The 26,602-nt window shown below is 40.3% G+C and overlaps 1 protein-coding gene and 1 long non-coding RNA gene across 55 annotated transcripts in view; both read left to right on the plus strand.

The window, feature by feature from the left end:
• The window catches only part of ERC1 (ELKS/RAB6-interacting/CAST family member 1), a 505,975-nt gene that overhangs the window by 333,465 nt on the left and 145,908 nt on the right, over positions 1–26,602 (plus strand). The gene's annotated exons all lie outside the window — the stretch shown is intronic.
• On the plus strand, positions 13,929–16,560 carry LOC107987182 (uncharacterized). The gene is made up of 2 exons (XR_001749430.1): positions 13,929–16,087; positions 16,172–16,560. It is a non-coding gene; the product is annotated as an uncharacterized LOC107987182 (long non-coding RNA).

Raw genomic sequence — 26,602 nt, forward strand, 5'->3', positions numbered from 1 at the left:
TACACATGTGGTATCTATATAAATTATATTTCAGAATAAAGAAATGGTCACTGTCTATAATTCTTACACTGCCACACCATTTGAAACAGGCCACAGAGATTTATTACTCCATGAGTTTTGTGAATATTGAGACTCAAATGCTATGTTTGTACAAGGAAATCACAAATCGTAACTAGAATACATTCACTTACATATTACACCTAGAGTTCGTTTTCTCATTGTTCTTTTAAGTTTTTTTCTCTGAGTATGGGTAGGTAAAGTATAGCAAATTTGTTGCAGAAAATTAACTGTGACCACATTAAAGACTTGAAACCACACTCCAAAATAGAAAAGGCATTAGGAAAATATTTTGCTTAGAAGGAATGATTGTTCTTGTCTTTTCAATTTTTTCTTTTAAATGTGCAACATGAAACTACTCCTTACCTTGAAAGCTGTATGGCTGATTGTTGCTGCTTCCCAACATCTTCACCCGTTTTACCGGAATTTCGCCTCTGCTATTTTACCTTCTAAGCTGTGAACCCTTGTCATCCTATTTGAACCACCCCCTGCCCTCCCACCTCCCTGTTATTAGCAGTACATCAAAGATTGGTCATTGGTCTTGTCTCCCTGCTAATTCATATCTTGATGTTCTTGAACAGTATTTGAACAGTGCCCCTTTAGAGGAATATCTAATGTCAGTCATTTCCTATTCTGAGTTAAGTTAATTGATCTGATAAATTACAATGAGCAAGTGAATATAGTGGGTTTAAAACGTATCCGTCTATTCTGGATTTGCTTTTGCTCTGGAGAAGGCAAAAAGGCCAGGAATTAGTGAGTGACTTAGTCTTCTCTCGTCATTGGCAGCTGACAGACCTACTGATGAGGTGATAATGAACTCCAAAGTCTACCCTAGGAGCAACTGGGAGGGAAAAGAACCCAGACAGAAGGCATGTCTCACTTTGGAGCCTGCCAAGATTTTTGCTTTTTCATAGAATTCATTTCGAGGAGGTTAACAGGTAGACTTTGCTGGATGCATGTCAGAAGTGTAACTTATCATTCATGGACACCAAAGACAAATATATATTTTATTTCTCTCAACGTAACAAGCCAGAGGCCTCAGTCTCAGAGACGGTCACTGGGGTAATCCAGTCAGAGAGGGAGCATCCGAAACAAGGCTTGAATATAAAGTTCATTTTTTAAAATAACTCTTCCTTCTTTCCATTAAAATTATTATCCAATACATATGGTATGACAGATTAGACCTTCCAGAATTATTTGCTACTCCTGTTTATTTGATTCCTAGAATGTTGCTTAGCGGTCTCAAACTTAATTGGAGATAATGAGTATACCTAAGGTAAATCTTCCAATTTTGTTTCCAGTTATGAATGTTGGTGAATCTTTCCTTTTCCAAATTCAGTTTAGGCCTCCACTGCCTGTTTTTCTTCAGGTATCATGAAAGTGAATGAAGTATTTTCAAGTCCATTCATCCCCACCTCACATGGGCAGTCGCCCCTCATACACATATATTTTGTAGCCCACACAGGAGGCAACTTAATGTACAAAATGTTTTAAGTTAATTACTGGAAGTGTGTTAAACATAGAATATTAGTGAGTTTTTAAAGTCTCTGAACTTTAAAAATAATCAACTGTTTGTAGAAAAAAAATGAATTATTGTTGATGACTCAGCGTTCCTTATGTAAAGACTTGGCTTTAGTCTTCAAGAAGCTCTTCAGCTTCCCTTTTTCGGTTTTAGGCAGAACATGGACTTTGAGAAGTTTTAAAAATTCTATTATTCCCACCCATGTTTCCCTCTGTCTTTAAGCTGTAATAAAACGTATCAATGTTCTGGGAGTCTGTATTGCTGAATTGTCAGGGCCTTTCTTGCTTAGTTTCGCTTGATGATAAATTTCAAGGAACCCATAGTGCACTATTTTTAACCAGTTTCGAGGTTGAAAAAATGCTAAGAGTTTGTGTCCAGAGGTTTGGATAACATTGTTAATTGTGCCAAGTATCCATTGAGTTTGGCTTTATTCTTTATCCTGTTTAACTGGCATTTTCTCTGCTGTAAGAAAACAGTCCTTAGGAGCCACGACAACTGATTTTATTGGTAAACATATGAATGAGGCATGTTTCATAAAACTTTATAAATTTAATATTAGAAGGACAGAAGTTTGACCAGACAGTTCAATAAAGACAATTTTATATATATTTTAACTTTCTTTGATTCCATTCACTTTTCAAATTAGATATTTCAGATTGTAATTCTTAGAATTGACCATGCCATTTATTCCTCTTTCTTGAAAGACAAATAGAATAAACAAAAATTTGTAGACATCTAAAGAGTAATCTAAGGACTATAGTTTTGACTCATTTCTTTCATGAGTATAGTTTCTCTTTTCTCTTTTATAATATAAGATATGCACCCGTTTGTCTATTCATTCCTTTTTGCTTCTCCAAACCTGTTTGCATCTTTGGTTGTGACTCATTTCTTTATTTGATCAATTGTTACCATTGTATACAGTCTCTTTAGTTGGATATTTGCTGAAGTCAGATAAACCTTACTGGTTTCAGGGATATGATTGTGGTATGAAACTGCCAATCTTCTACTTTGATGTTCATGATTCAAAAACTTCTTGTTCCTTTGGAGAAAATGAGCCTAAGTTAGTCGTCATCCTGGAAATAAGTTTTGATTTCTTTTTATGAAAGAATGCCAGGAACTTTCACCAGTTTATCTTTGAATCTTTATTTTCCAAAAGTAAGGTAGAAAAATCCTCACCGTTTTACTGATTTGCAGACTGGTAAAGTGAACAAGGTGTTAGAATCAAGACATTTTACTCAAAGACCACTAATTTAAAAAGGTAAGTCAGAATCTGGCCCAAGACCTTGACCTCTCAAATTAGATTTAATTATGAACTGCATTAAGTCCCATTATTTCTCCTATTTTGCTTATCAAGTGATAACTTCTAGTCAGACTGGGATAATCATGAATCTACAGTGCCGAAGGCATTCATGACAAAGCTCACCCTTTGAAGCAGAAAAGCAATTCATCTGTGTCAAAAAAGGATGCAAACTAAGTTTTGATCCTGCCTGATAGTACCATTTTCCAGCTATACCTTGTCCAGCATTCTTTATCAAAGCCAGAAAGACTATATGCAAGAAGAATTTAGAACAGACTAGGTACTATAATTCTTTGTGTTTGAAAGGTGATATTTTAGACGTAGAGACAAAAAGTCTCCCTTGAGTTTTTGAAAGAAATTGCTTGTAAGGGCAAATGTTTTAGGTTGAAAAGTTGATATTTTTTAGTTTCCCTGTTTATGAATAGTTCACAGGGTAATGTTGTCAGTCATTTTAAACTTATTATTTCTCCCTCTTGGAAAGGTTATAGATTGCCAACAGAAAGTAGAACTCCCTGTTTCTGCGTGTTTTTCTCTGAAATAGTGTGTGACGTAGTCACATTACTCCAGGCTCAATTATAGACAGTTTGTGGGTTTTTTTTTTAATAATGCCAAAAATCTGTGGATAATGTATAATAAGCTGATGTACATCCTACTAGAACTGAGGTATTTCAGTTTGTGACAAATTATGTCTTAACATGTTACCTCGTTAATAGTCATTGGTTCATAAATGCTGGGGATTTTAAATTTAACTCTTTTTATACCTAATATTAAAAATTAACCCAATTTAACATTATTTCATCTACCACATTACTGGCCTTGTTTTGATTCTAAATCTCATGTCCTAATTTACAAATTACCAAATTAATTCAAATGTATAACCTCTTTATGATTTGAGGCCCACTCTGGAAAAGAAAAATACTAGACATTTCTATTAAAGTCATGAGTGATTTTTATGTGTCTTGTGGATCCATCCCCCAGAGTCTTGTCTTATATCTTTATGTTCTAACAATGAAGTTTTTTTAACGTACTTTTAGCAAAATATACATATATTTACACAAGTATTTTAGAGTTACCTACAGTAGGATTTAGAGGTCTTTTATTCCCATGATTATATAACATTAAACAATATGTAGCCCCCAAATAAATTTTTCTGTGGGAACTTCTTCACGTTGTCTGCACATGACAGTTGATCTTGGGTTGTTTCAGTACTTTCCTTGGTTTTCCTCCTGTGTCTTTAGCCATTCCCTAGAAGTCCCCTTTTTCTCTCCCTTACAACTGATGGTCTCTATGAGTCCACTTTTAGCTCCCTTCTCTTCTTCTATACTTTCTTCCCCTATATTTTTTCCAAAGTAATGTTATCTGTTCAGTGGCATCAGCCGCTATTAATATATGCTCATGACGTCCAAGTACAAATAAATACACAAGTGGTTTACTCTAGCCCATATCTCTGTTCCCAACTTTGGGCCCCTATCAACTGCCAACTGCACCTGACAGCTTGAACATTCCATAAACGACCTCAACATACCTAAAATCATCTCATCATTTTTTTTTTTTACAAATATGCTCCTCAGTATCTTCATCATCAAGAAATGTCGTTTACTCAGTTGTTCAAGCCAGAAACTAATTAAATTGTTCCTAACAACTTTTTTTCCCTTGCCTCTCATAGCTTTTTCAACCTTTGAGACATATCTCCACATCATTTTGCTTCTCTCTTCACAGGAATTATTCTATTTTATCACTTTGTTTTTGCAACAGCATCTTAGCTAATTTGTAACTAATTTTACCCTTTGCCAGTCCTTTTCTTCTGCTTCTTCCAGGTTAATACTTGGTTGTTTGTTTGTGTTTGTTTGTTTGTTTTTCCTTTGGAGATGGTGTCTCATTCTGTCACCCAGGCTGGAGTGCATTGGCATAATCACTGGTCACTGTAACCTCAACCTCCCAGGCTCAAGGAATCCTCCTGCCTCAGCCTCCCAAGTAGCTGAGACCACAGATGCATGCCATGATGTCCAGCTTAATTTTTTTTTGTTAGAAGTGAAGCCTCACTTCGTTGCCCAGGCTGGTCTCAAACCCCTGAGCTCAAGTAGTTCTCCTACCATGGCCTCCCAAAGTGCTGGGATTACAGACATGAGCCACTGCACCTGCCCTTAATACTTTTGAAAACACGTGTATGGTCATGTTATTTCCTCTTAAAATTTTCCAAAGGCTTCTTATCCTTTCAGGATAAAATGCAGACTCCGAAGCCTGACGTTGAAGGTTCCCCATAATCTGACTTCTCCTGTTGTACGCCACGCCCATGTGACCTCACGTTTCTCCTTTCTCTCTCTTTCGCTTCCCCCTCTTGCCTTTTTCCTTTCTCCCCCCTCCCCTTTTCTCCCTCAGTTAAGATGCTACTTCTTCCATGACAAATGATGCTATAGGAGGAAGTCATTTCTTTCTCTGCGTTTGCTTTGAACCTCTCCTATTGCTTTGTCTTTTTTTTCTTACCATGGATTAAAATATCTGTGTACATGTTTTCTGTTGAATTAGGAGCATCTAATTCAGTGTTAGACACGGTTCTACGTGTTAGCAGTATCATCTGGAATAAGACAGCCTCTGTTCTTGGGGAGGGAGGGTCCTTGTCTTTTTCATTCTTGGAACTTTTTAGAGGTGATTTGACAAATAAATAAATGTCTATTTAAAAGTTACTAAAAAAAAAAAAAAAAAAGCCTTAGCGACCAGGCACGGTGGCTCACGCCTGTAATCCCAGCACTTTGGGAGGCTGAGGCGGGCAGATCACTTGAGGTCAGGATTTTGAGACCAACCTGGCCAACATAGTGAAACCCCATCTCTACTAAAAAATACAAAATTAGCCAGGCGTGGTGGCACATGCCTGTAATCCCAGCTACTTGGGAGGCTGAGGCAGGAGAATCACTTGAACCCCAGAGGCGGAGGTTGGAGTGAGCCAAGATCACGCCACTGCACTTCAGCTTGGGCGACAGAGCAAGACTCTGAATCAAAAAAAAAAAAAAGAAAGAAAAGTCTTAGAAAAGGTTTTTTTTTTCTAAATTTTTCAATATAGATTCATCTAATAATCTCAAAATAATTTTATAATAGCCTAAATAAAATCAACTACACACGTATTAATAATGACCTTCTATCCCTATTTGGGATGCAAAGTGAGGCAATAACTACAACAATAATAATATATTGTTTTACGTTTTCCATGTATATATTCTGAAAGCCTCACGAGCAGCCTGTGAGAAAGCTGCTTTCATTATACTCGTTTTATAGTTGAGGAAAGTGAGTAATTTTCCCAATTATACTAATAAATGAGAAGGAACAGATCCGTAACTTTGGTTTCCTTTTGCTATCTAATGTTGCTCTTCTAGATCTTACCTAGCTGGGGAAGGGGAAAATGTGAATAAGATACCAAAATAAGTGGATGTTAAAGTAATTCAGGCAAGAAATTATGAATTAGGGTTATGTCAGAGGTGGACCATGAAGAAATATTGAGGAGGTAGAATGAACAGAAGATTTAATGACAAAGGGATATGTGGAATTTGAAGGAAAGGGAGGAGTTAAAGATGATTTAAGCTAAAAGCTCCCAGGACTTTTGACCCCACTTTTCTAGTGTGCTTGGTTTCTCCTTTAAAAAGATTCTGGAGAATAGTTTAACAGTTCCCAATGGAAGTAAATTATAAAAGCTGAGATGGCAATATTTAAACCCTAGAGCCAGCAGCAGTGGATTCAACCCTGAAGTTTCAAGCAGTATCCTTTGTTTTATGGCTAAGAACCAGTATCATCTGTTATTTAACTAGGAAGTACAAGTTCACCTTTACAGGACCAACATTTTATTTTCTTCTGTGAAATGCATAAACAACATAATACACGACAATGGGAAAAGTCAGATAGCACAGAAAGGCCTATAAGGAAAAGCAACAACACATCTACCTTTTCTGTCCCCCTTTCCACATCCTCGAGTGAGTGATCCTTTCAGCTTTCTTCACTCAAAACTTTGCACTTGCTCTTAGCTAAGGCTGAGAAGCAATCATCACTCAGAACTTTAGACTCATAATGTTATTTTTTATTGACTCCTTGCAACAGTCAGTATTTAGCTTACTTAAATTGCTGCCTGTTTTCCCTCACTCCTTCTCCCAGTTTTTGTATTATTATTATTATTATTATTTTATGAATCCTCTTCGTTACCTTTGTAACTTTAAATCATACACTTAAAACTCTTAATTTCTCTTTATCATCTTCCCACAGGCTCTCTGCCTAGTGACATGTAAAATAAGGTTATCAGTACCTCTACTCTTCCTTCCACTTTTCTTCCCCTCCCTTCTTCTCTCTTCCCCTTCCCTAACTTCTGACAGTTGAATTTTTATTTTTATTCATTTACACAGGACATGCAGCCATATCTTAAAGTTGAAGACTCATCTTGTCCTTCTATTTTGGAAAATTATGAACAATTCTCCCAAATACTGTTTTCTCTAATATTTTGTTCTGCAACTCCTAGTAGACTTAGAGTCTCTTTGTCTTTTTTACATGTCTCTTAATTTATCTTCTCTTTTTTATCTCTTTATGTCTTTTATCCTTTATGTTCCATGTTTTGACTAAATTGCTAGTACTGTCTTTCAATTCACTGATTCTGTCTTCAGCTACATTCAATGTACTGTCCCCTGCTTATTTAGTTTTTGTCTGTAACTTTACTCACATATTTGTTAAATTTTTTATTGGAGTGTATACTATACCTCTGAAAGAATATGTGTACTGTCAGTTTAGTTCACTATATTTTTGCAGTCTGAAAAATTTATGTAACCTGACACCCAAATCAAGAAACAGAATATTCCCAATACTCCAGAAGCCCTCTTTGTGCTTCCCTCCAGTGAGTAACACCTCCCTTGAGTAATCACTATTCTGACTTCTGAATGCATATTTTAATTTTACCTGTTTTGTGTTATATATAAATGGAGTTATCAAATAAGTACTCTTTTGTGTCTGGGTTCTTTCACTCTGTGTTGTGAGTTTTACTCATGTTTTTACATGTAGCCAATAGTTCTTTCAATCTTATCCCATAAGGTATCATATTGGGTGACTATACAATATTTATTTGTCTAGCAGTTATCCATCTACTTACTTATTCACTGTTGATGGAGACAGAGCCCATTTAGTTTGGGGCTCTTACAGATAGTGGTACCATGAGCATTTCCAGTGAAGTAGTGGTTCTTGACCCAGGGAGATAGTGGGGCTGTCACAGAGACCCACTCACAGAGCCGGTAGATACCTTGGTTCTGTTTCTGTTCTTGAATCCATCTGCTTGATTCGTTATGCCCTGATCCTAACAAATAATTAGTCATTGGGACAGGAGGTGAGTACACGATTGCAGTTCCTGGTGTTAAGCGATGAGCCTGTATCTTCTATAAAGTGTTGTTAGTCCCCCTCATCCAGGAGGAGTGAGAGTTCTAGCTCCCCGAGGCTGCTTTCGGATCCATATTCCTGGCAGGCCATGGTGTATTTTGCAGCTCTGTTCCATTTATGCACCACACATACGTTTAAGTTGTATTTGAGCCCAGCTGTAGCTTTCTAGATCTCTCCTTATAGTCATTGCTATGTATTTTATATCTCAGAGCATGACTTTACCAAACCATCTTAACCAGAAGTATTTCTTTGAATCTGAAGACTCCTGGATTTCAGGATATATTTATGACTTCTTTTTTTCTTCCTTTGTTTAAGCTCAGAAAACTTCTTGTATTACTTCTTTGGTCATTTCCTTTCCTTCATTTTCACTATTCTCACCTTCTAAAACTTCTAGTTGTTGGATTTAGATTTCTCTTAAATTTTTTACTCTGTATTTTTTATCTCCTTTTCTTCATTTAGTTCTTGGTTGGGGGAACAAAATATCCTTGACTTTATCTTACAGTACTTTTGAATTTTTTTATTTTGCTAAAGAGCATTTTAACTTTCTTACAATTGGAATGTTCTTTTTCATAGCCTGCTGTATCTGTTTTGTAGCTTTAGCGTCTTCTTGGATTTCTCTTAAGAAATTGATTAGACCTTTTAAAAAAATGTTCTTCTACTTCCTGAATTATTTGTGTTTCCTACAGCCTTAGTTGTTAAACTCATGTATCTTCTCTTTTATTTCAGAGGTTTTTCACGTATTAGTCAATTCTTCATTGTCCCTTCATGTTTAAGGAGAACTAGATTGATTGTGGCACATGGCCAAACTGAAATTCCTTTGGTGGTGTTTGCAGGTTTGCTTCCCTGCTAGGCCTCTGCTCTGGGTGATACAGCTGACTAGCAGCTTTGTATAACCGGCAGAACCTGTCCACTGGTAGCCGTCTCTTTAGGATGGATGGTGTGGATCCACTGTCAGGTTGGAGGCACCCCCCAAATTTAAGAAGAAAAAGGATTTATTCTGGGCACCAACTGTGATATAAGCAGTCCTGGATCATTTCAGTAGTTTATTTAGTATCATAGAAAAGATCATTTCAGGTTTCTCTGCTTACTTGTTACAGGTGGGGAAAATAATAAACTGCATGTCCTATGTAAGAGCATAGGGAGGTGAGGAGGGGAAACCATTGCAGCTATTCAAAATAGACTTGTTTTAAAGCTTTTATTTTAAGTACAGGGGTACATGTGCAGGTTTGTTATGTAGGTAAACTTAGGTCATGGAGGTTTGTTGTACAGATTATTTCCTCGCCCGGGTATTAAGCCTGGTACCCTTTAGTTACTTTATAATTCGTCCTGATCCTCGTCCTGATCCTCGTCCTGATCCTCGTCCTGATCCTCGTCCTGATCCTCGTCCTGATCCTCGTCCTCCTCTCACCCCCCCTCCTCCATTAGGCGCCAGTGGCTGTTGTTCCCCTCTATGTGTCCGCGTGTTCTCATCATTTAGCTACCACTTACAAGTGCGAACATGTGGTATTTGGTTTTCTGTTCCTGTGTTGTTTGTTAAGGGTAGTGGTCTCCAGCTCCATCCATGTGCCTGCAAAGGACATGATCTCATTCTTTATTTATGGCCGCATAGTATTCCGTGGTGTATATGTACCGCATTTTTTTTTTTTTTTTTTTTTGAGATGGAGTCTCACTCTGTCGCCAGGCTGGAGTGCAGTGGCGCGACGTCGGCTCACTGCAATCTCTGCCTCCCAGGTTCAAGCGATTCTCCTGCCTCAGCCTCCCGAGTAGCTCAGATTACAGGCACGTGCCACCATGCCTGGCTAATTTTTGTATTTTTAGTAGAGACGGGGTTTCACCATGTTGGCCACGGTGGTCTCGATCTCCTGACCTCATGATCCACCCATCTCAGCCTCCCAAAGTGCTGGGATTACAGGCGTGAGCCACCGCACCCGGCCCCACATTTTCTTTAGTCTATCATTGATGAGCATGTAGGTTGATTCTGTATCTTTGCTATTGTTAATAGCACTGCAGTGAACATACACGTGCATGTGTCTTTATAATAGAACAATTTATATTCCTTTTATTATGTACACAATAATGGGATTGCTGGGTCAAATGGTATTTCTGTCTTTAGTTCTTTGAGGAATCATCATGCTGTCTTCCACAATGGTTGAACTAATTTACACTCCCGCCAACAATGTATAAGTGTTCAGGTTCCTTTTCCCACAACCTCGCCAGCATCTGTTATTTTTTTACTTTTTAATAATAGCCATTCTGACTGGTGTGAGATAATATTGTGGTTTCAATTTTTTCTCTAATGATCCCTGATGTTGAGCTTTTTTCATGTGCTTCTTGGCCACGTGTTATGTCTTCTTTTGAAAAGCGTCTGTTTATGTATTTTGCCCACTTTTTAATGGGGTTGTTTTTTTCTTGTTTAAGCTCTTTATGGATCCTGGATATTAGACCTTTGTCACATGCATACCTTGCAAAAATTTCCTCCCATTCTGTAGGTTGTATACTGTTGAAAGTTTCTTTTGCTGTACAGAAACTCTCTAGTTTACATAGATCCTGTTCATCAATTTTTGCTTTTGTTGCAGTTGCTTTTGGCATCCTCATTATAAAATCTTTGCCCATTCCTGTGTCCTGATTGGTATTGACTAGGTTGTCTTCCAGGTTTTTTATAGTTTTGGGTTTTACATTTAAGTGTTTAATCCATCTTGAATTAATTTTTGTATAGGGTGTAAGGAAGGGATCCAGTTTCAATCTTCTGCATATGGCTAGCCAGTTACCACAGCATCATTTAGTGAATAGGGAGTCCTTTCCTTCATTGCTTGCTTTTGTCAGGTTTGTTGAAGATCAGATAGTTCTAGATGTGCAACCTTATTTTGGGGCTCTCTCTTCTGTTCCATTGGTCTATGTGTCTTTGTACCAGTTACCAGGCTGTTTTGGTTACTGTAGCCCTGTAGTATAGTTTGAAGTCAGGTAGCGTGATGCCTCCAGGTTTATTCTTTTTGGGTAGGATTGCCTTGGCTGTTGGGGATCTTTTTTGGTTTTCATATGAATTTTAAGATAGTTTTCTAGTTCTGTGAAGAATGTCATTGGTAGTTTGATAGGAACAGCATTAAATCTATAAATTGCTTTGTTCAGTGTGGCCATTAAACGATATTGATTCTTCCTATCCATGAGCATGGAATGTTTTTCCATTTGTTTGTGTCATTTCTGATTTCTTTGAGCAGTGTTTTGTAGTTCTTCTTGTAGAGATCTTTCACCTGCTTGGTTAGCTGTATTCGTAGGTATTTTATACTTTTTCAGGCACGTGTAAATGGAATTACATTCCTGATTTGGCTCTTGGCTTGACTGTTGGTGTAGAGGAATGCTAGTGATATCTGTATATTGATTTCGTATCCTGAAAGTTTGCTGAAGTTTTTTTATCACCTTACGAAGATTTTGGACCAAGACGATGGGGTTTTCTAGATACAGGATTGTGTCATCTGCAAACAGGGATAGTTTAATTTCCTCTCTTCCCATTTGGATACCCTTTATTTCTTTCTTTTGCCTGATTGCCCTGTCCAGGACCTTCAATACTATGTTGAATAGGAGTGGTGAGAGAGGGCATCCTTGTCTTACACCAGTTTTTCAAGGGGAATGCCTCCAGCTTTTGTTTATTCAGTATGATATTGGCTGTGGATTTGTCATAGGTGGCTCTTATTATTTTGAGGTATGTTCCTTCAATACGTAGTTTATTGAGAGTTTTTAACATGAAGCAATGTTGAATTTTATCGAAAGCCCTTTCTGCATCTGTTGTGATAATCCTGTAGTTTTTGTCTTTAGTTCTGTTTATGTGCTGAATCACATTGATTTTTGCATGTTGAACCAACCTTGCATCGTAGAGACAAAGCCTACTTGATCTTGGTGGATAAGCCTTTTCATGTGCTTCTGGATTCAGTTTGTCAGGATTTTGTTGAGGATTTTGCATTGACGTTCCTCAAGGATATTGGTCTGAAGTTTTCTTTTTTTGTTTTATCTCTGCCAGGTTTTGATATCAGGATGATGCCGACCTCGTAGAATTAGTTGGGGAGGAGTCCCTCCTCCTCAATTTATTTGAAATAGTTTCAGGGGTAATGGTACCAGCCCTTCTTTGTACATCTGGTAGAATTTAGCTGTGACTCTATCTGGTACTGGGCTTATTTATTTACTGTTTATTTATTTGGTTGGTTGGTTGGTTGGTTGGTTGGTTGGCTATTTGTGGCTTCCTCAATTTCAGAGTTCATTATGGGCCTGTTCAGGGATTCAGTTTCTTCCTGGTTCAGTCTTGGGAGGGTGTATGTGTCCAGGAATTTATCCCTTTCTTCTAGATTTCCTAGTTTACATGCATAAAGTTGTTCATATATTCTCTAGTGGTTGTTTGTATTTCTGTGGGTTCGGTAATAATATCCTTTTTGTTATTTCTAATCGTGTTTGTTTGGATTTTCTCTCTTACTAGCCTATTTAGCAGTTTATTTTATTAATTTTTTTTTAAAAAATAAACTCCTGGACTCATTGATCCTTTATATGGGTTTTCATGTCTCAGTGTCCCTCAGTTCACCTCTAATTTTTATTTCTTGTCTTCTGCTGGCTTTGAGGTTGGTTTGCTCTCGGTTCTCTAGTTCTTTTAGTTGTGATGTAAAGTTGTTATATTGAGATCTTTCTAACTCTTTGATGTGGACATTTAATGATATGAACGTCCCTGTTAACATTGTCTTAGCTGTGTCCCAGAGATTCTGGTATGTTGTATCTTTGTTCTCATTAGTTTCAAAGAACTTCTTGATTTCTGCCTTAGTTTCATTATTTATGCAAAAGTCATTCAGGAGTAGGTTGATCAATTTCCATATAATGGTATGGTTTCGAGCAAAATTCTTAGTCTTGATTTCTAATTTGATCATGCTGCGGTCTGAGAGAGTGTTTATTATTTCAGTTCTTTTGCATTTACTGAGGAGTATTTTCTGTCCAATTATGTGGTCAGTTTTAGAGTATGTGCCATGCGAAGGTGAGAATGTATGTTCTGTTGCTTTTGGGTGGAGAATTCTGTAGATTCCTGTCAAGTCCCTTTGATCCTATGCTGAGTTCAGGTCCTGAATATCTTTATTAATTTTTTTTTTTTTTGAGACAGTCTTGCTCCATTGCCCAGGCTGGAGTGCAGTGATACAGTCTCGGCTCACTGCAACCTCCGCCTCACGGGTTCAAGCAATTCTCCTGCCTCAGCTTCCTCAGTAGCTGGGACTACAGGCATGCACGAGCATGCTGGCTATTTTGTTCTGTTTTGTTTTGTTTTTGTATTTTTGGTAGAAACAGGGTTTTGCCATGTTGGCCAGGCTGATCTCAAACTCCTAACCTCAAGTGATCTGCCCACCTCAGCCTTCCAAAGTGCTGGGATTACAGGCATGAGCCACTGCTCCTGGCCTTAATCTTTGATCTAATACTGTTAGTGGGGTATTGAAGTCTCCCACTGTTATTGTGTGGGAGTCTAAGTCTCTCTGAAGGTCTCTAAGAACTTGCTTCCTGAATCCGGGTGCTCCTGTGTCAGGTGCATATATATTTAGGATAGTTAGCTCTTCTTGTTGCATTGAACCCCTTACTATTTAGTAATGCTCTTCTTTTTCTTTTTTTTTTTTAATCTTTGTTGGTTTAAAGTCTATTTTTTCTGAAATTAGGATGTAATCCTGCTTTTTTCTGTTTGCTTCGTAGATTTTTCTTTATTTATTTTGAGTCTGTGGGTGTCATTGCATACGAAATGGGCCTCTTGAAGATAGCACACTGGTGGGTCTTGGTTCTTTATCTAGCTTGTTGCTTGGTGCCTTTTAATAGGGGTATTTAGCCCATTTACATTCAAGGTTTGTACTGATATGTGTGGATCTGAACCTGTCATCATGATGTTAGCTGGTTATTATGCAGACTTGTTTGTGTGGTTGCTTTATAGTGTCACTAGTGTGTTTACTTAAATGCGTTTTTGAAGTGGCTGGTAATGGTCTTTCCTTTCCATATTTAGTGCTTCCTTAAGGAGCTCTTGTAAGGCAGGTTTGATAGTAATGAATTTCCTCAGCATTTGCTGGTGTGAAAAGGATCTGATTTTTCCCTCACTTATGAAGGTTATTTTGTCCAGATATGAAATTCTGGCTTGGAATTTCTTTAAGAATGTTGATTATTGGTGCCCAATCTCTTCTGGCTTGTAGGGTTTCTGCTGAGAGGTCCGCTGTTAGTCTGATGGACTTGCCTTTGTAGGTGACCTTACCTTACCCTCTAGCTGCCTTTAACATTTTTTTCTTTCATCTTAACTTTCAAGAACCTTATGATTATGTCTTGAGGATGTTCTTCTCATGAAGGATCTCATTGGGGTTCTCTGCATTTCTTGAATTTGCATATTAGTCTCTCTAGCTAGGGTTGGGAAGCTCTCATGGATGATATCCTGAAATACGTTTTCAGTTGCTTACGCTCTCCCCATCTCTTTCAGGGATACCAGTCATTCATAGATTTGGTCTCTTTATATAATACCACATTTCTTGGAGGTTTTGTTTATTCCTTTATACTCTCTTTTCTCTATTATTGTCTGACTTCCTTATTTCAAAACGTCAGTCTTCAAGCTCTGAGACACTATCCTCACCTTGGTCTATTCTGCTGTTAATACTTGTGACTGCATTATGAAATTCTTATAGTGTGTTTTTCAGCTCTGTCAGGTTGATTACATGTTTTTTCTTTGCTGGCTATTTTGTCTGTCAGCTCCTATATTGTTGTACTGTGATTCTTCGCTTCCTTGATTTTGTTTCAGCATACTCCTGCATCTCAACGATCTGCATTCCTATCCATATTCTGCCTTCTGTTTCTGTCATTTCTGCCATCTCAACCCGGTTCAGAACCCTTGCTGGAGTGGTGGTGCAGTCATTTTGAGGAAAGAAGGCACTCTGGCTTTTTGAGTTGTCAAGAGTTCTTGGATTGGTTCTTTCTTATCTTTCTGGGGTAATGTTTGTTCAATCTTTGAACTTGCTGACCTTTGGATAGTTTTTTTTTTCTTCTTCTTCTTTTACACTATTTGATGACCTTCAGTGTTTGATTGTGGTATAAGGTGGATTCAGCCAACTGACTGTTTCTGGAAGACTTTAGGGGGCCAACACTCAGCTCTGATCTTCTAGACTGTGTGCTCTAACTTTGGGGGACTTATATTGGGCAATGACTTTGTTCTCTGGCTCCTCTGAGGTTAGGAGTCCACTGTGCTGGTGGGGCCGAAGTGCTCCACGATCACTGGTCACTACACTCTAATGGGTGGTGTCTGCCAAAGTGCTTCATAGTGTGGCGGCAGCAGGATCCGTCCTCATTTGCACATGCCAGCAACAGCAGCAGCGCAGCAGAGTGCACGCTGGACAACTGTGACAGGGTGCTAGCAGGTGCCAGGGTGCCTGCCCCCATGTAGGCATTCACCGCAGTGGCAGAGGCAGCTCAGCTGGACGACTGTGACAGGGTGCTAGCAGGTACCAGGGTGCCCGCCCCCATGTAGGCATTCACTGCAGTGGCAGAGGCAGCTCAGCTGGACGACTGTGACAGGGTGCTAGCAGGTGCCAGGGTGCCTGCCCCCATGTAGGCATTCACTGCAGTGGCAGAGGCAGCTCAGCTGGACGACTGTGACAGGGTGCTAGCAGGTGCCAGGGTGCCCGCCCCCATGTAGGCATTCACTGCAGTGGCAGAGGCAGCTCAGCTGGACAACTGTGACGGGGTGCTAGCAGGTGCCAGGGTGCCCGCCCCCATGTAGGCATTCACTGCAGTGGCAGAGGCAGCTCAGCTGGACAACTGTGACAGGGTGCTAGCAGGTGCCCGGGTGCCCGCCCCCATGTAGGCATTCACTGCAGTGGCAGAGGCAGCTCAGCTGGACAACTGTGACAGGGTGCTAGCAGGTGCCAGGGGGTGCCAGGGTGCCTGCCCCCATGTAGGCATTCACTGCAGTGGCAGAGGCAGCTCAGCCTGGGGGGCCAGAGAGCCCTTGCTGGTGACTGTGCATGTGATATCACTGGTGGTTGTGTTAATACGGATGTGGGTTACTGGTGGGGACAGGTCTCTGTGTGCCCCAGGCAGGGGTGGTTGCTCAGGGTTGGGGAGGGTCTGCTGTCCTCTGTGCCTGGTTTCACTCCTGTGGCAGTGTTGGCACAAGGGCAGGGCTGGCTGGTTCTGTGCTCACCAAGGCTCCAACTGCAGTGACGGTCCAGCAGAAGGGGAACAGGTGGTAGGGTGCACACACACATGCACACTGGCAGGGCAAGGAAAGCAAAATCTGTCCACGTACACATGTGCTGGCAAAGAGATGTGGAGGCTTGCTGTAGGCCTGGGGGAAGCTGTAATGTGTGGAGAAAGCAGGCAGGCCTGGTGCGTGGCCAGCGTGTGACCGTGGGGGCCAGCCTGCTTGAGTTCTCTGCCAGTCAGGCATAGTTCCCCAGCACAGGAGCTATAATGACAGCCTCCGGGGTACCCAAGGCTATCCTGCAAGCAGGCACAGCTAGGCTGTGGTCCCTAGAGAGTCCAGCAGACCAAGAGGTGCTCAGGTTGGACCAGCCCCATCTGATGGGCAAGACCTCCAGAGTTCAGGTCTTGCAGAGGTTAGGTCCAGTTGTTCCCCTGGGGCTAAAGTCTCCTATGGGAGCAAGTCAAGCCTAGGGAGATGGGCTTCCCTAGCCATGCTCCACTACAGACTCTACCACACCAAACCCTCTGGGTTCCACCTCAGCTGACGCGCTGCCCTTGCTTCTCTAAGCAGCTCTCCCTGCCAAATCGGTGTCTGTGGTAGATGAGGGGTCATCTTCTGCTGGAATTCCAGAGGCCCGTAGCAAGAACAGATTACTCTTCGTGAGTACAACTCGCTCATTCCCTCAGGGTCGTTGGGGGCTAGGAACGAGTCCCTGTGTGCAGTAGCCCGGTGCAGCGTTCCCAGCATCCTCCCCTTTCAGCCTGCTTCTGTGTGTTCCCTCCATCCACTCTCACTGCCTTCCCTCTGAAGGTCTGTTGTGCCAGTCAGCTCGGTTTCTCGCTGGCAGCTGTTCCACCTGGCTGCTTTTAGTAGGCTTTAGTGCCCTTCCCCTCTTTTTTAATATAGAGACAGAGTCTCTCCATATTGCCGAGGCTCGTTTCCAATTCCTGGGCTCAAGCAGTCCTCCTCCCTTGGCCTCCCAAAGTGCTGAGATTACAGGCATGAGCCACTGTGTCCAGCCTAGTACTCTCTTTTAAGGATGTGTTTTCCAGTTCTTGTTATTTTCATTCTAAGGGGTACATTGCCAGTATATTCTACCTTCTTCCAAAGGAATAAATACAGATTGGTTTAAAACATAGAATATTAACATTTCTATTTTTCCTTGAATGTCCACTTATTCTTTTCTTTTTCTTTTTTTTTTTTTTTTTTTTTTTTTTTTTTTTTTTTTTTTTTGAGGCAGAGTCTTACTCTGTCGCCCAGGCTGGAGTGCAGTGGCGCAATCTCGGCTCACTGCAGCCTCCGACTCCTGGGTTCAAGCAGTTCTCCTGCCTCAGCCTCCTGAGTAGCTGGGACTACAGGCGCACGCCACCAAGCCCGGCTAATCTGTTTTGTATTTTCAATAGAGACAGGGTTTCGCCATGTTCACCAAGATGGTCTCGATCTCCTGAGGATTATAAATCATGCTACTATAAAGACATGCACACATATGTTTATTTCGGCACTATTCACGATAGCAAAGACTTGGAACCAACCCAAATGTCCATCAACGATAGACTGGATTAAGAAAATGTGGCACATATACATCATGGAATACTATGCAGCCATAAAAAAGGATGAGTTCATGTCCTTTGCAGGCACATGGATGAAGCTGGAACCATCATTCTCAGCAAATTATCACAAGGACAGAAAACCGAACACTGCATGTTCTCACTCATAGGTGGGAATTGAACAATGAGAACACATGGACACAGGGAGGGGAATATCACACACTGGGGCCTGTCATGGGGTGGGGGGTTGGGGGAGGGATAGCATTAGGAGAAATAACTAATGTAAATGAAGAGTTGATGGGTGCAGCAAACCAACATGGCACATGTATACCTGTGTATGAAACCTGCCTGTTGTGTACACATACCCTAGAACTTAAAGTATAATTTTTAAAAAAAGAAACTTGAAGCTTTGGGATCAGCCTGGAATATTTTTCATAAATTCTGTTGACAGTTTCTTGCTGAATCACTTTGAATGGATATTCAAAACTTCGTTTGAACTTAAGAAAAATAAGAATTTCTTTTTGTATTTCACTGAATGGTAAACAGTTTCTACTCTCTTCTGGGAATTCATAGATGAAAGGGGATGGTTTTTACCTGTCCAAATCTATGGAGAAATACACAAAACAGGAGATTATATTAATAATATACTATAATAATATAAAGGAAGTATGAACAGCTTTCAGTGGGAGCTTGTAGAGAGAGTTTTTCCTGAAAAAGTCAAGTAAAGATAAAATTCAGTAAGCAAAAAGTTAATGCGGGCCGGGTGCGGTGGCTCACGCCTGTAATCCCAGCACTTTGGGAGGCCGAGGCTGGTGGATCACCTGAGGTCAGGAGTTTGAGACCAGCCTGGCCAATATGGTGAAACCCCGTCTCTACTAAAAAAATACAAAAATTAGCTGGGCATGGTGGCACACGCCTGTAATCCCAGCTACTTGGGAAACTGAGGCAGGAGAATCGCTTGAACCTGGGAGGCAGAGGTTGCAGTGAGCCAAGATTGCGCCATCGCACTCCAGCCTGGGCGACAAAGAGCGAAACTCTGTCTCAAAAAAAAAAAAAACAAAAAAAAGATAAAGCAAAAAATGCAGGGATAGAGAAACCATGGCAAAAGGTGCTAAGTGCTGAATTTAAGTGTAGAACCTAGACTCAATCTGAGAGGACATCATCCCATGTCTGCCTGGTATTGTACAGACCCTCCTAGTCTTTTAGCTAGCTCTTAAAGGATAAATCAGAGAAGAGAGCGTTGCGCGTATTCTTAGTTGATAAAATAGCAGATGAAAAGTCACAGAGGTATGAAATATTAATATTAATGTGTATTTGAGGAACTATAAGAAATTTAGTATTGCTAGAGCAAAGAATGTTTGAGGAGAATTTTGAGGAAAAGGCTAGAAGGGCTTTCTATGCCATGCCACTAATTTAAATTGCTATTCTATAGCAAGGAAGTGATGTGATCCAATCCATATTTCAGGAAGATCGTGCTGACCCTGTAATCCATTACATGAATGCAGACAGTAACACTCTCAAAATTTATTAAACACACTTAATGAAATAAATACCAGTATCTATGTTATCTGCCTTTTTTGCCTGTCACTCATGCGGTCCTCACAACTCCTTCCAGCCCCTAAACTAATCAGTCCGGGCATTAGAGAGCTTTGAAATGTTTATTAAGAAAACAGTCCTGTTTTGACAGACAGGAGTTAGAGCACCTGGACTTAAAGCAGGCTTTACAGCTCTACTGGGGATCTCTCATGTAGGCAACATGAGGCCAGCAGAGCCCTGTGCAAACAGGCATCATAAGCAAATGACCATTTCTTTTCCATTATAGACTTCATCCTTCAAAAGGGAGTGCCATTCGTCCCAACTAGTATTTTCCCCCCTTTTATCTGTGTCACTAATGCTAAATTAGTTCATGGGTCATTCAAATTCTAGCAGCTTTGGTGTTAGTCTTTATATTTCAGTTCCAGTGCTCCGCTGATTATTTTGGCATGAAACTATCCCATACAGTCATCATGCTGCTTTTAATTCAAAAGATTCCTATGAGCTGCACCAGGAATATCGTATCTAGTACAAAAACTGTATGTCTGTTCTTCCCTGAAGCAGATTCTCTTGTAACTTGAGTTTAGTTATCTTAGTATTGATATTGAGTTATTTTTAGAGAGTTCTGTGGTGGTTAGTGGCTCGGTGTTTTCATCAGTCGTTCACTTAACTATCCTTTCGGAACATCTGTGCCACTTACGCTGTCTCACTTCTCACCCAAGTCTTAGATGCTTTTTCATTCTTCATATTACTAGGAAAGATTAAACACATCATATAATGCCAGTGACTGCAGGACTTTCCTTTAAAGCTTCTAAACTACCTGCCAGTATGCTGAAATAAGGTATATTCTGAAGCTTATCGTTTAAATTGTAGATTTCATATGTAAAAACATTTTTTTTTTTTAAGACAGTCTTGCTCTGTCACCCAGGCTGGAGTGCAGTGGCGCGATCTCCGCTCACTGTAAGCTCCGCCTTTCAGGTTCACACCATTCTCCTGCCTCAGTGTCCCGTGTAGCTGGGACTACAGGCACCCACCACTGCACCCGGCTAATTTTTTGTATTTTTAGTAGAGACGGGGTTTCACCGTGTTAGCCAGGATGGTCTCGATCTCCTGACCTCGTGATCCCCCCACTTCGGCCTCCCAAAGTGCTGGGATTACAGGCGTGAGCCACCGCGCCCAGCCTGTAAAAACATTTTCATCTTTGTTTATAAATAAAACATCTGATTATACAACAATACTTTTATGGGACTCAAAGAGGGGAGTCAGGGTTGGGGTGGGGTCTGTCATTTATTTACTTATTTTTAAAAGATACCTGGCCTGGTTCTGTGGCGGTGGCTTTTCTTCGCTAATCATGAGCTGTACTTTGAGTATGCAGTAGATTCCGTCAGCATCTCAGTGGGAGAAAGGGGGGAAAGAGGGGTTTTAACACAGTGTTCTCTTTGCATTGAGTGAAGAAGCTGTTGATCTCTGAAGGAGGAAAGGAGAGACTGGAACCACATGAAGGCTTGTGCTGTGAAACCCTGAAACCCTGACGGTGCCTTTTGATCACTGTGTTTTAACAAAGCTGACAATCCTCAGCCACACAAATCTTGGGAACTAAAATAAGTATTCATTTAACTCTTGACTAAAGGTTAAAAGATACAGTTAAAAAGAAATCTAAAACCCAGAGTGGTAATTCCACTTTTTCTTTCTCTTTCTGTTGTTGGAACCTGAGCTCTCTAGGAAAACTAACATTTGTTAAGGGCCTGCCATGTGCCAGATTCCTGTCTGTAAGAGAGGTATAATTATTATTTTACACTATCTCAATCTTAATAACAACTCCGTTAAGTTTACACATTTATATTTCCATTTGACAGTTAAAATCAAGGAAGTTCAGGAAGCTGCTTGTCTAGGGTCATACAACTAGTAAGCGGCACTGTCCAGCTCCAGAACACATGCTTTTTCTTGTGTATTTTAGTGCTCCTTCAGTCACTTATATGATTTACTTATTTGTTATTCTTTTATAAATTTAAGCAGTAGTACAAAGTAGAAAGAATAAAGAAAAAAACAGCCCCCAAGTCAATTGCCTAGAAAATAATCATTATTTGTAGTAGGTAAGCAGGATTCCTGTCATATTCCTATGCACATATAGAAAAAAATTAACATATAACATGCCATTTTAAATAAAAATTGAATTTAATTTTACTTGACATTAGCAGAATAAAGAGAATTTCAGTAGAATATTTCTTCTTTTTTTTTTTGAGACGGAGTCTCACTCTGTCGCCCAGGCTGGAGTGCAGTGGCGTGATCTGGGCTCACTGCAAGCTCCACCTCCTGGGTTCACGCCATTCTCCTGCCTCAGCCTCCCGAGTAGCTGGGACTACAGGTGCCCACCACCACACCCGGCTAATTTTTGTTCTATTTTTTAGTAGAAATGGGATTTCACCGTGTTAGCCAGGATGGTCTCAATCTCCTGATCTCGTGATCTGCCCGCCTCGGCCTCCCAAAGTGCTGGGATTACAGGCGTGAGCCACCACGCCTGGCCAGAATATTTCTTTACTATAAAGGAGAATTCCTAAGCCATCCTTCCAAGTTTAAGAAAAGAGATAGAGATTGGGGTTATGTTTTACAACAGCATCTTTTATTTTTATTTTAATCAGTATTAATTCATGCCATGCTCTAAAAGATGAAGAAATTATCACTTCTTCTCACCAGTTTTTAATGATATAGTTTTATATCAGCTTTACCAAGGTTTATAATATTTACATCTTATTTTATAACTCCCAGGCTACTTAGTCTGGGAGTTAAATTCAGCACTTAACACCTTTTGCCACATTTTCCCTATCCCTGAATTTTTTGCTGTATCGTTTTGCTTATTTAATTTTATCTTCACTTGACTATTTCAGGAAAGACTGATGCTGAATTCTGGTTTTCTTGTTTTATGTTTGCATGCTTGATAGTGTTTATTTGCCATTCTACTTGAAGTATTACTTAGCTAGTTACGAAATTCTTAGGTGTGTTCTTCTAATGCAGAGTGGATGAATGTTCCCGGATGCTCTCTTCCTGCCATCACTGCATCTGATGTTGCCCCTCTGAGTTAGAACAGAAGGGCCAGGAATTGACTTCAGCCTGCTTTTCTATAACCTGGGAAATGTGAGGAGCTAGGACTATTCTCAGCTGGATCTCCACTGTCTTTGTGGAAGGCCTGGACTCAAGTTTTTGTTGTTTGTTTGTTTGTTTGTTTTTCCTGAAATTTTGATAAATATCCTGTATTCATCCTGGTAAGCATGAGAAGGTTCAGATCGTCTGTGAAATTCTTTAGAGATTGCTAGAAAACAGCATATCCTAGTAATTTTTCTTGCCTTTATGAGGTTGCCATAGTTAAATGTTTTGTCCTGACTCATCTCTTAAACCACCAGTCCACCCTTTTCCATCTGTTTTTCTCCACATTTGGGGATATTACTGGGAATTCTCACAGTTTTATCACCTCACTTCTGAATTGCTTCTGGGCTTAGAATAGGGTAAAGAGCAACACTATTTTTCACCAAAATTTTTGTTGATTTTATTACCTGCAGCCCAACACAAAAATACTGACAAACCTTTCATTTCTAGGAGAACAACTGATTGACCCTAATAGAAAAAATAGACTCTATCAGTCAGGTATTCCAGTGTATAGGAAACAGCGTGTTGTGACATTTGTTTATTTAAGAGATGATGGTTTTCGGCCGGGCGCGGTGGCTCACGCCTGTAATCCCAGCACTTTGGGAGGCCGAGGCGGGTGGATCATGAGGTCAGGAGATCGAGACCATCCTGGCTAACAAGGTGAAACCCCGTCTCTACTAAAAATACAAAAAATTAGCCGGGCGCGGTGGCGGGCGCCTGTAGTCCCAGCTACTGGGGAGGCTGAGGCAGGAGAATGGTGTGAACCCGGGAAGCGGAGCTTGCAGTGAGCCGAGATTGCGCCACTGCAGTCCGCAGTCCGGCCTGGGCGACAGAGCGAGACTCCGTCTCAAAAAAAAAAAAAGAGAGAGATGATGGTTTTCAGGTTTTTTGGGTTTTGTTTGTTTTGATCCTTTGAGGATGGTATGTTGTAGTCCAGAGAAGGTATTTAGAATTGTGACAAGGTAATAAAATTGAGACAAACACGATTATTTATCTTTGTCGAGAGTCACTCCTGGCAATTTTCACATGGACCTTCGTTGAAATGCATCATTGAAATACTAGCGTACATTTTAGGTATTTTACTGTTTCACGGTATGCTTATTAGTCAGTGTAAAATGCATCCTAATCAAAATTAACTACTTTGAAAAGGGAAGTTGATCGCTTCTTGGCCATTTGGCTAAGATCAACTGAAAAGGGAAGTAGAGATAATATGGTACAGCAATTTATTTTTAAAACAATTAGTTTTTTTAAACTGACAAATAAAAATTGTGTATGTCCATCATGTACAACATGATGTTTTGAAATATGTATATTTTGTGGAATTGTTAAATCAAGCTAATTAACATATCATTATCTCACATGCTTGTCATTTTTCATGGTGATAACACTTAAAATCTATACTCAGCAATTTTCAAGATGTAGTAATTTCTATATAGAGAAAATCTGTAGAACTCAGGATTGTCTATTTTGAAGGTTCTTAAGATGTATTTCCAAGAAAATACAGTATAAATTTTGTGATTGATACCACTTTTCATGCTAGCCACATAAATTGTCCTTTTTGCTCCCAGGTTAAGAATTCAAGGCTTACAAAAATGAACACAAGGCTGGGCACAGTTGCTCAAGCCTGTAATCCCAGCACTTGGGAGACCGAGACGGGCAGATCACCTGAGGTCAGGAGTTTAAGACCAGCCTGGCCAACATGGTGCAACCCCGTCTCTACTAAAAATACAAAAATTAGCCAGGGGTGGTGGCGCATGCCTATAGTCCCAGCTACTCAGGAGGCTGAAGCATGAGAATTGCTTGAAGCCGGGAGGCAGAGGTTGCAGTGAGCAGAGATGGCGCCACTGCACTCCAATCTGGTCAACAGAGTTAGACTCGGTCTCAAGAAAAAAAAAATTATAATTGAAAATGAACACAGGTTTCTTGTATGTCTCTCCACTTAGTTGATTCTCTAGAGTGTGGTACATTTTACAATGTGTTGTCTGCAGTGTTTATTTACATTGTCTGGCATGCTACAAAGGTTGGTAGCATTTGCTAATAAGGAACCACTATGTGACCAGTGTAAATGATCTACCAGTGCCTCTTCCTGGTTTCGATTTCTTTCCTAGCAAAATACGGGTATAAGAAGTGAACCAGACGTCTTTAAGAAAGAGTATGTCTGCTACTCTTGTTTCCAAAAGTGTTTATATTTATTCATTAAAGAACTTTTGTTACTGAATTCTTTTTAGGAAACTTAGTGAACCATACACTGCCTGTATGGCCAATGATGAAGAATCAGCTTAAGGGGAAAAAATGTATAATGTCCAGCCAGGCGCAGTGGCTCACGCCTGTCATCTCAGCACTTTGGGAGGCCGAGGCGGGCAGATCACTTGAGGTCAGGAGTTCGAGACCATCCTGGCCAAAACCAACATGGTGAAACCCCGTCTCTACCAAAAATACAAAAATTAGCTGGGCGTGGTGGCAGGCGCCCATAGTCCCAATTACTCGGGAGGCTGAGGCAGGAGATTTGCTTGAACCTCGGAGGCAGAGCTTGCAGCGAGCCGAGATTGTGCCACTGCACTCCAGCCCAGGCAACAGAGTGAAGACTCCATCTAAAAAAAAAAAAAAGTATAATGTCTCACAATATAATGCAACAAGATTTCCTACTCAGGACTTACAAAGACCTGTGTCTCTTAAAATACACGGGTCACCGGAATGTAGGTTTTTTGGTAAGTGCTGAGCATTCCTATATTCATTTCCTTCCTCTGTTTTATGATTCACTGGAAAGCTTCAAGCCTTGAAATATTTCTGATTTGATTTTTGCAATATACTTTTTCTTCCCATTGCCATGCTCGTATTTCTGCACACCTCATGTGCTTATACAGTCCAATCATTTTGATGACTTGGGGAGGTGTGAAGAGGCTGAGCTAGACTTCATATTTTCTCCTGTCCCGTGTTCTTATTGTAAAGGAATGTAGTAATGCACTGTGTCTTTTTTGTGTCTGTTGTTGGCTACATGTCCTCAAAACATATTCAACAAGTAGACGTCTATTGAAAAGAAATTTTCCTAAGTTGTCCCCAAGAAAACGACGACACTGGAGTCAGTTCCGTGTTTATAACAGAGTCCCAACACTTGTTTTTCTCCAGGGTTTCTACAAGAAGAAGCATAAAACAGTGTTAGTATGTGACTGACCTTTGGCTTCAAGGCTTCAGTAAATCCGTAAAGTGAGATTGATTAGGATTAATAGCTTTTTGTCCTAGCTAAAAAGTGTTCGAGATCTTGGCTTAAAAAGAGTTCTTTTTGGCCGGGCACAGTGGCTCACGCCTGTAATCCCAGCACTTTGGGAGGCCGAGGCGGGCAGATCATGAGATCAGGAGTCCAAGACCACCAGCCTGTCCAATATGGTGAAACCCTCTCTACTAAAAAATACAAAAATTAGCCAGGCATAGTGCCATACGTCTGTAGTCCCAGCTACTCGGGAGGCTGAGGCAGGTGAATCGCTTGAACCCGGGAGGCAGAGGTTGCAGTGAGCCGAGATCATGCCACTGCACTCCAACCTGGACGACAGAGTGAGACCGTCTAAAAAAAAAAAAAAAAAAAAGTTATTTTTGATACCTTGGAATGTGTTGGCCGTTTTAGGTGCTTCCAGCATTTTATTCAAAGAGTTGAGAACATAAAAGGATAGCTTGATTATACTTAGACCTTAAAAAACTTTTAGGAGTTCATCAAACACATAACCTTTACAACTGGTTAGACTTCCAGCTTTCCTAAACAAGAGTATGGCACTCTTGCCAGTGTTGGTTTAAAGTACATGTAATTTACATAAAATAGCACTGACTGCAGCCTAGGTCTCTAAGCAGAGAATGCTCTGACAACTTTGTCTCCAGGTCCACTCTACTGTTCCTTATTGAGGAGGGAAACCAGGTTCACAGTGTTGTGCTTTCTT

This window comes from Homo sapiens, chromosome 12 (assembly GCF_000001405.40).
Source record: "Homo sapiens chromosome 12, GRCh38.p14 Primary Assembly".
Lineage (NCBI taxonomy): Eukaryota > Metazoa > Chordata > Mammalia > Primates > Hominidae > Homo > Homo sapiens.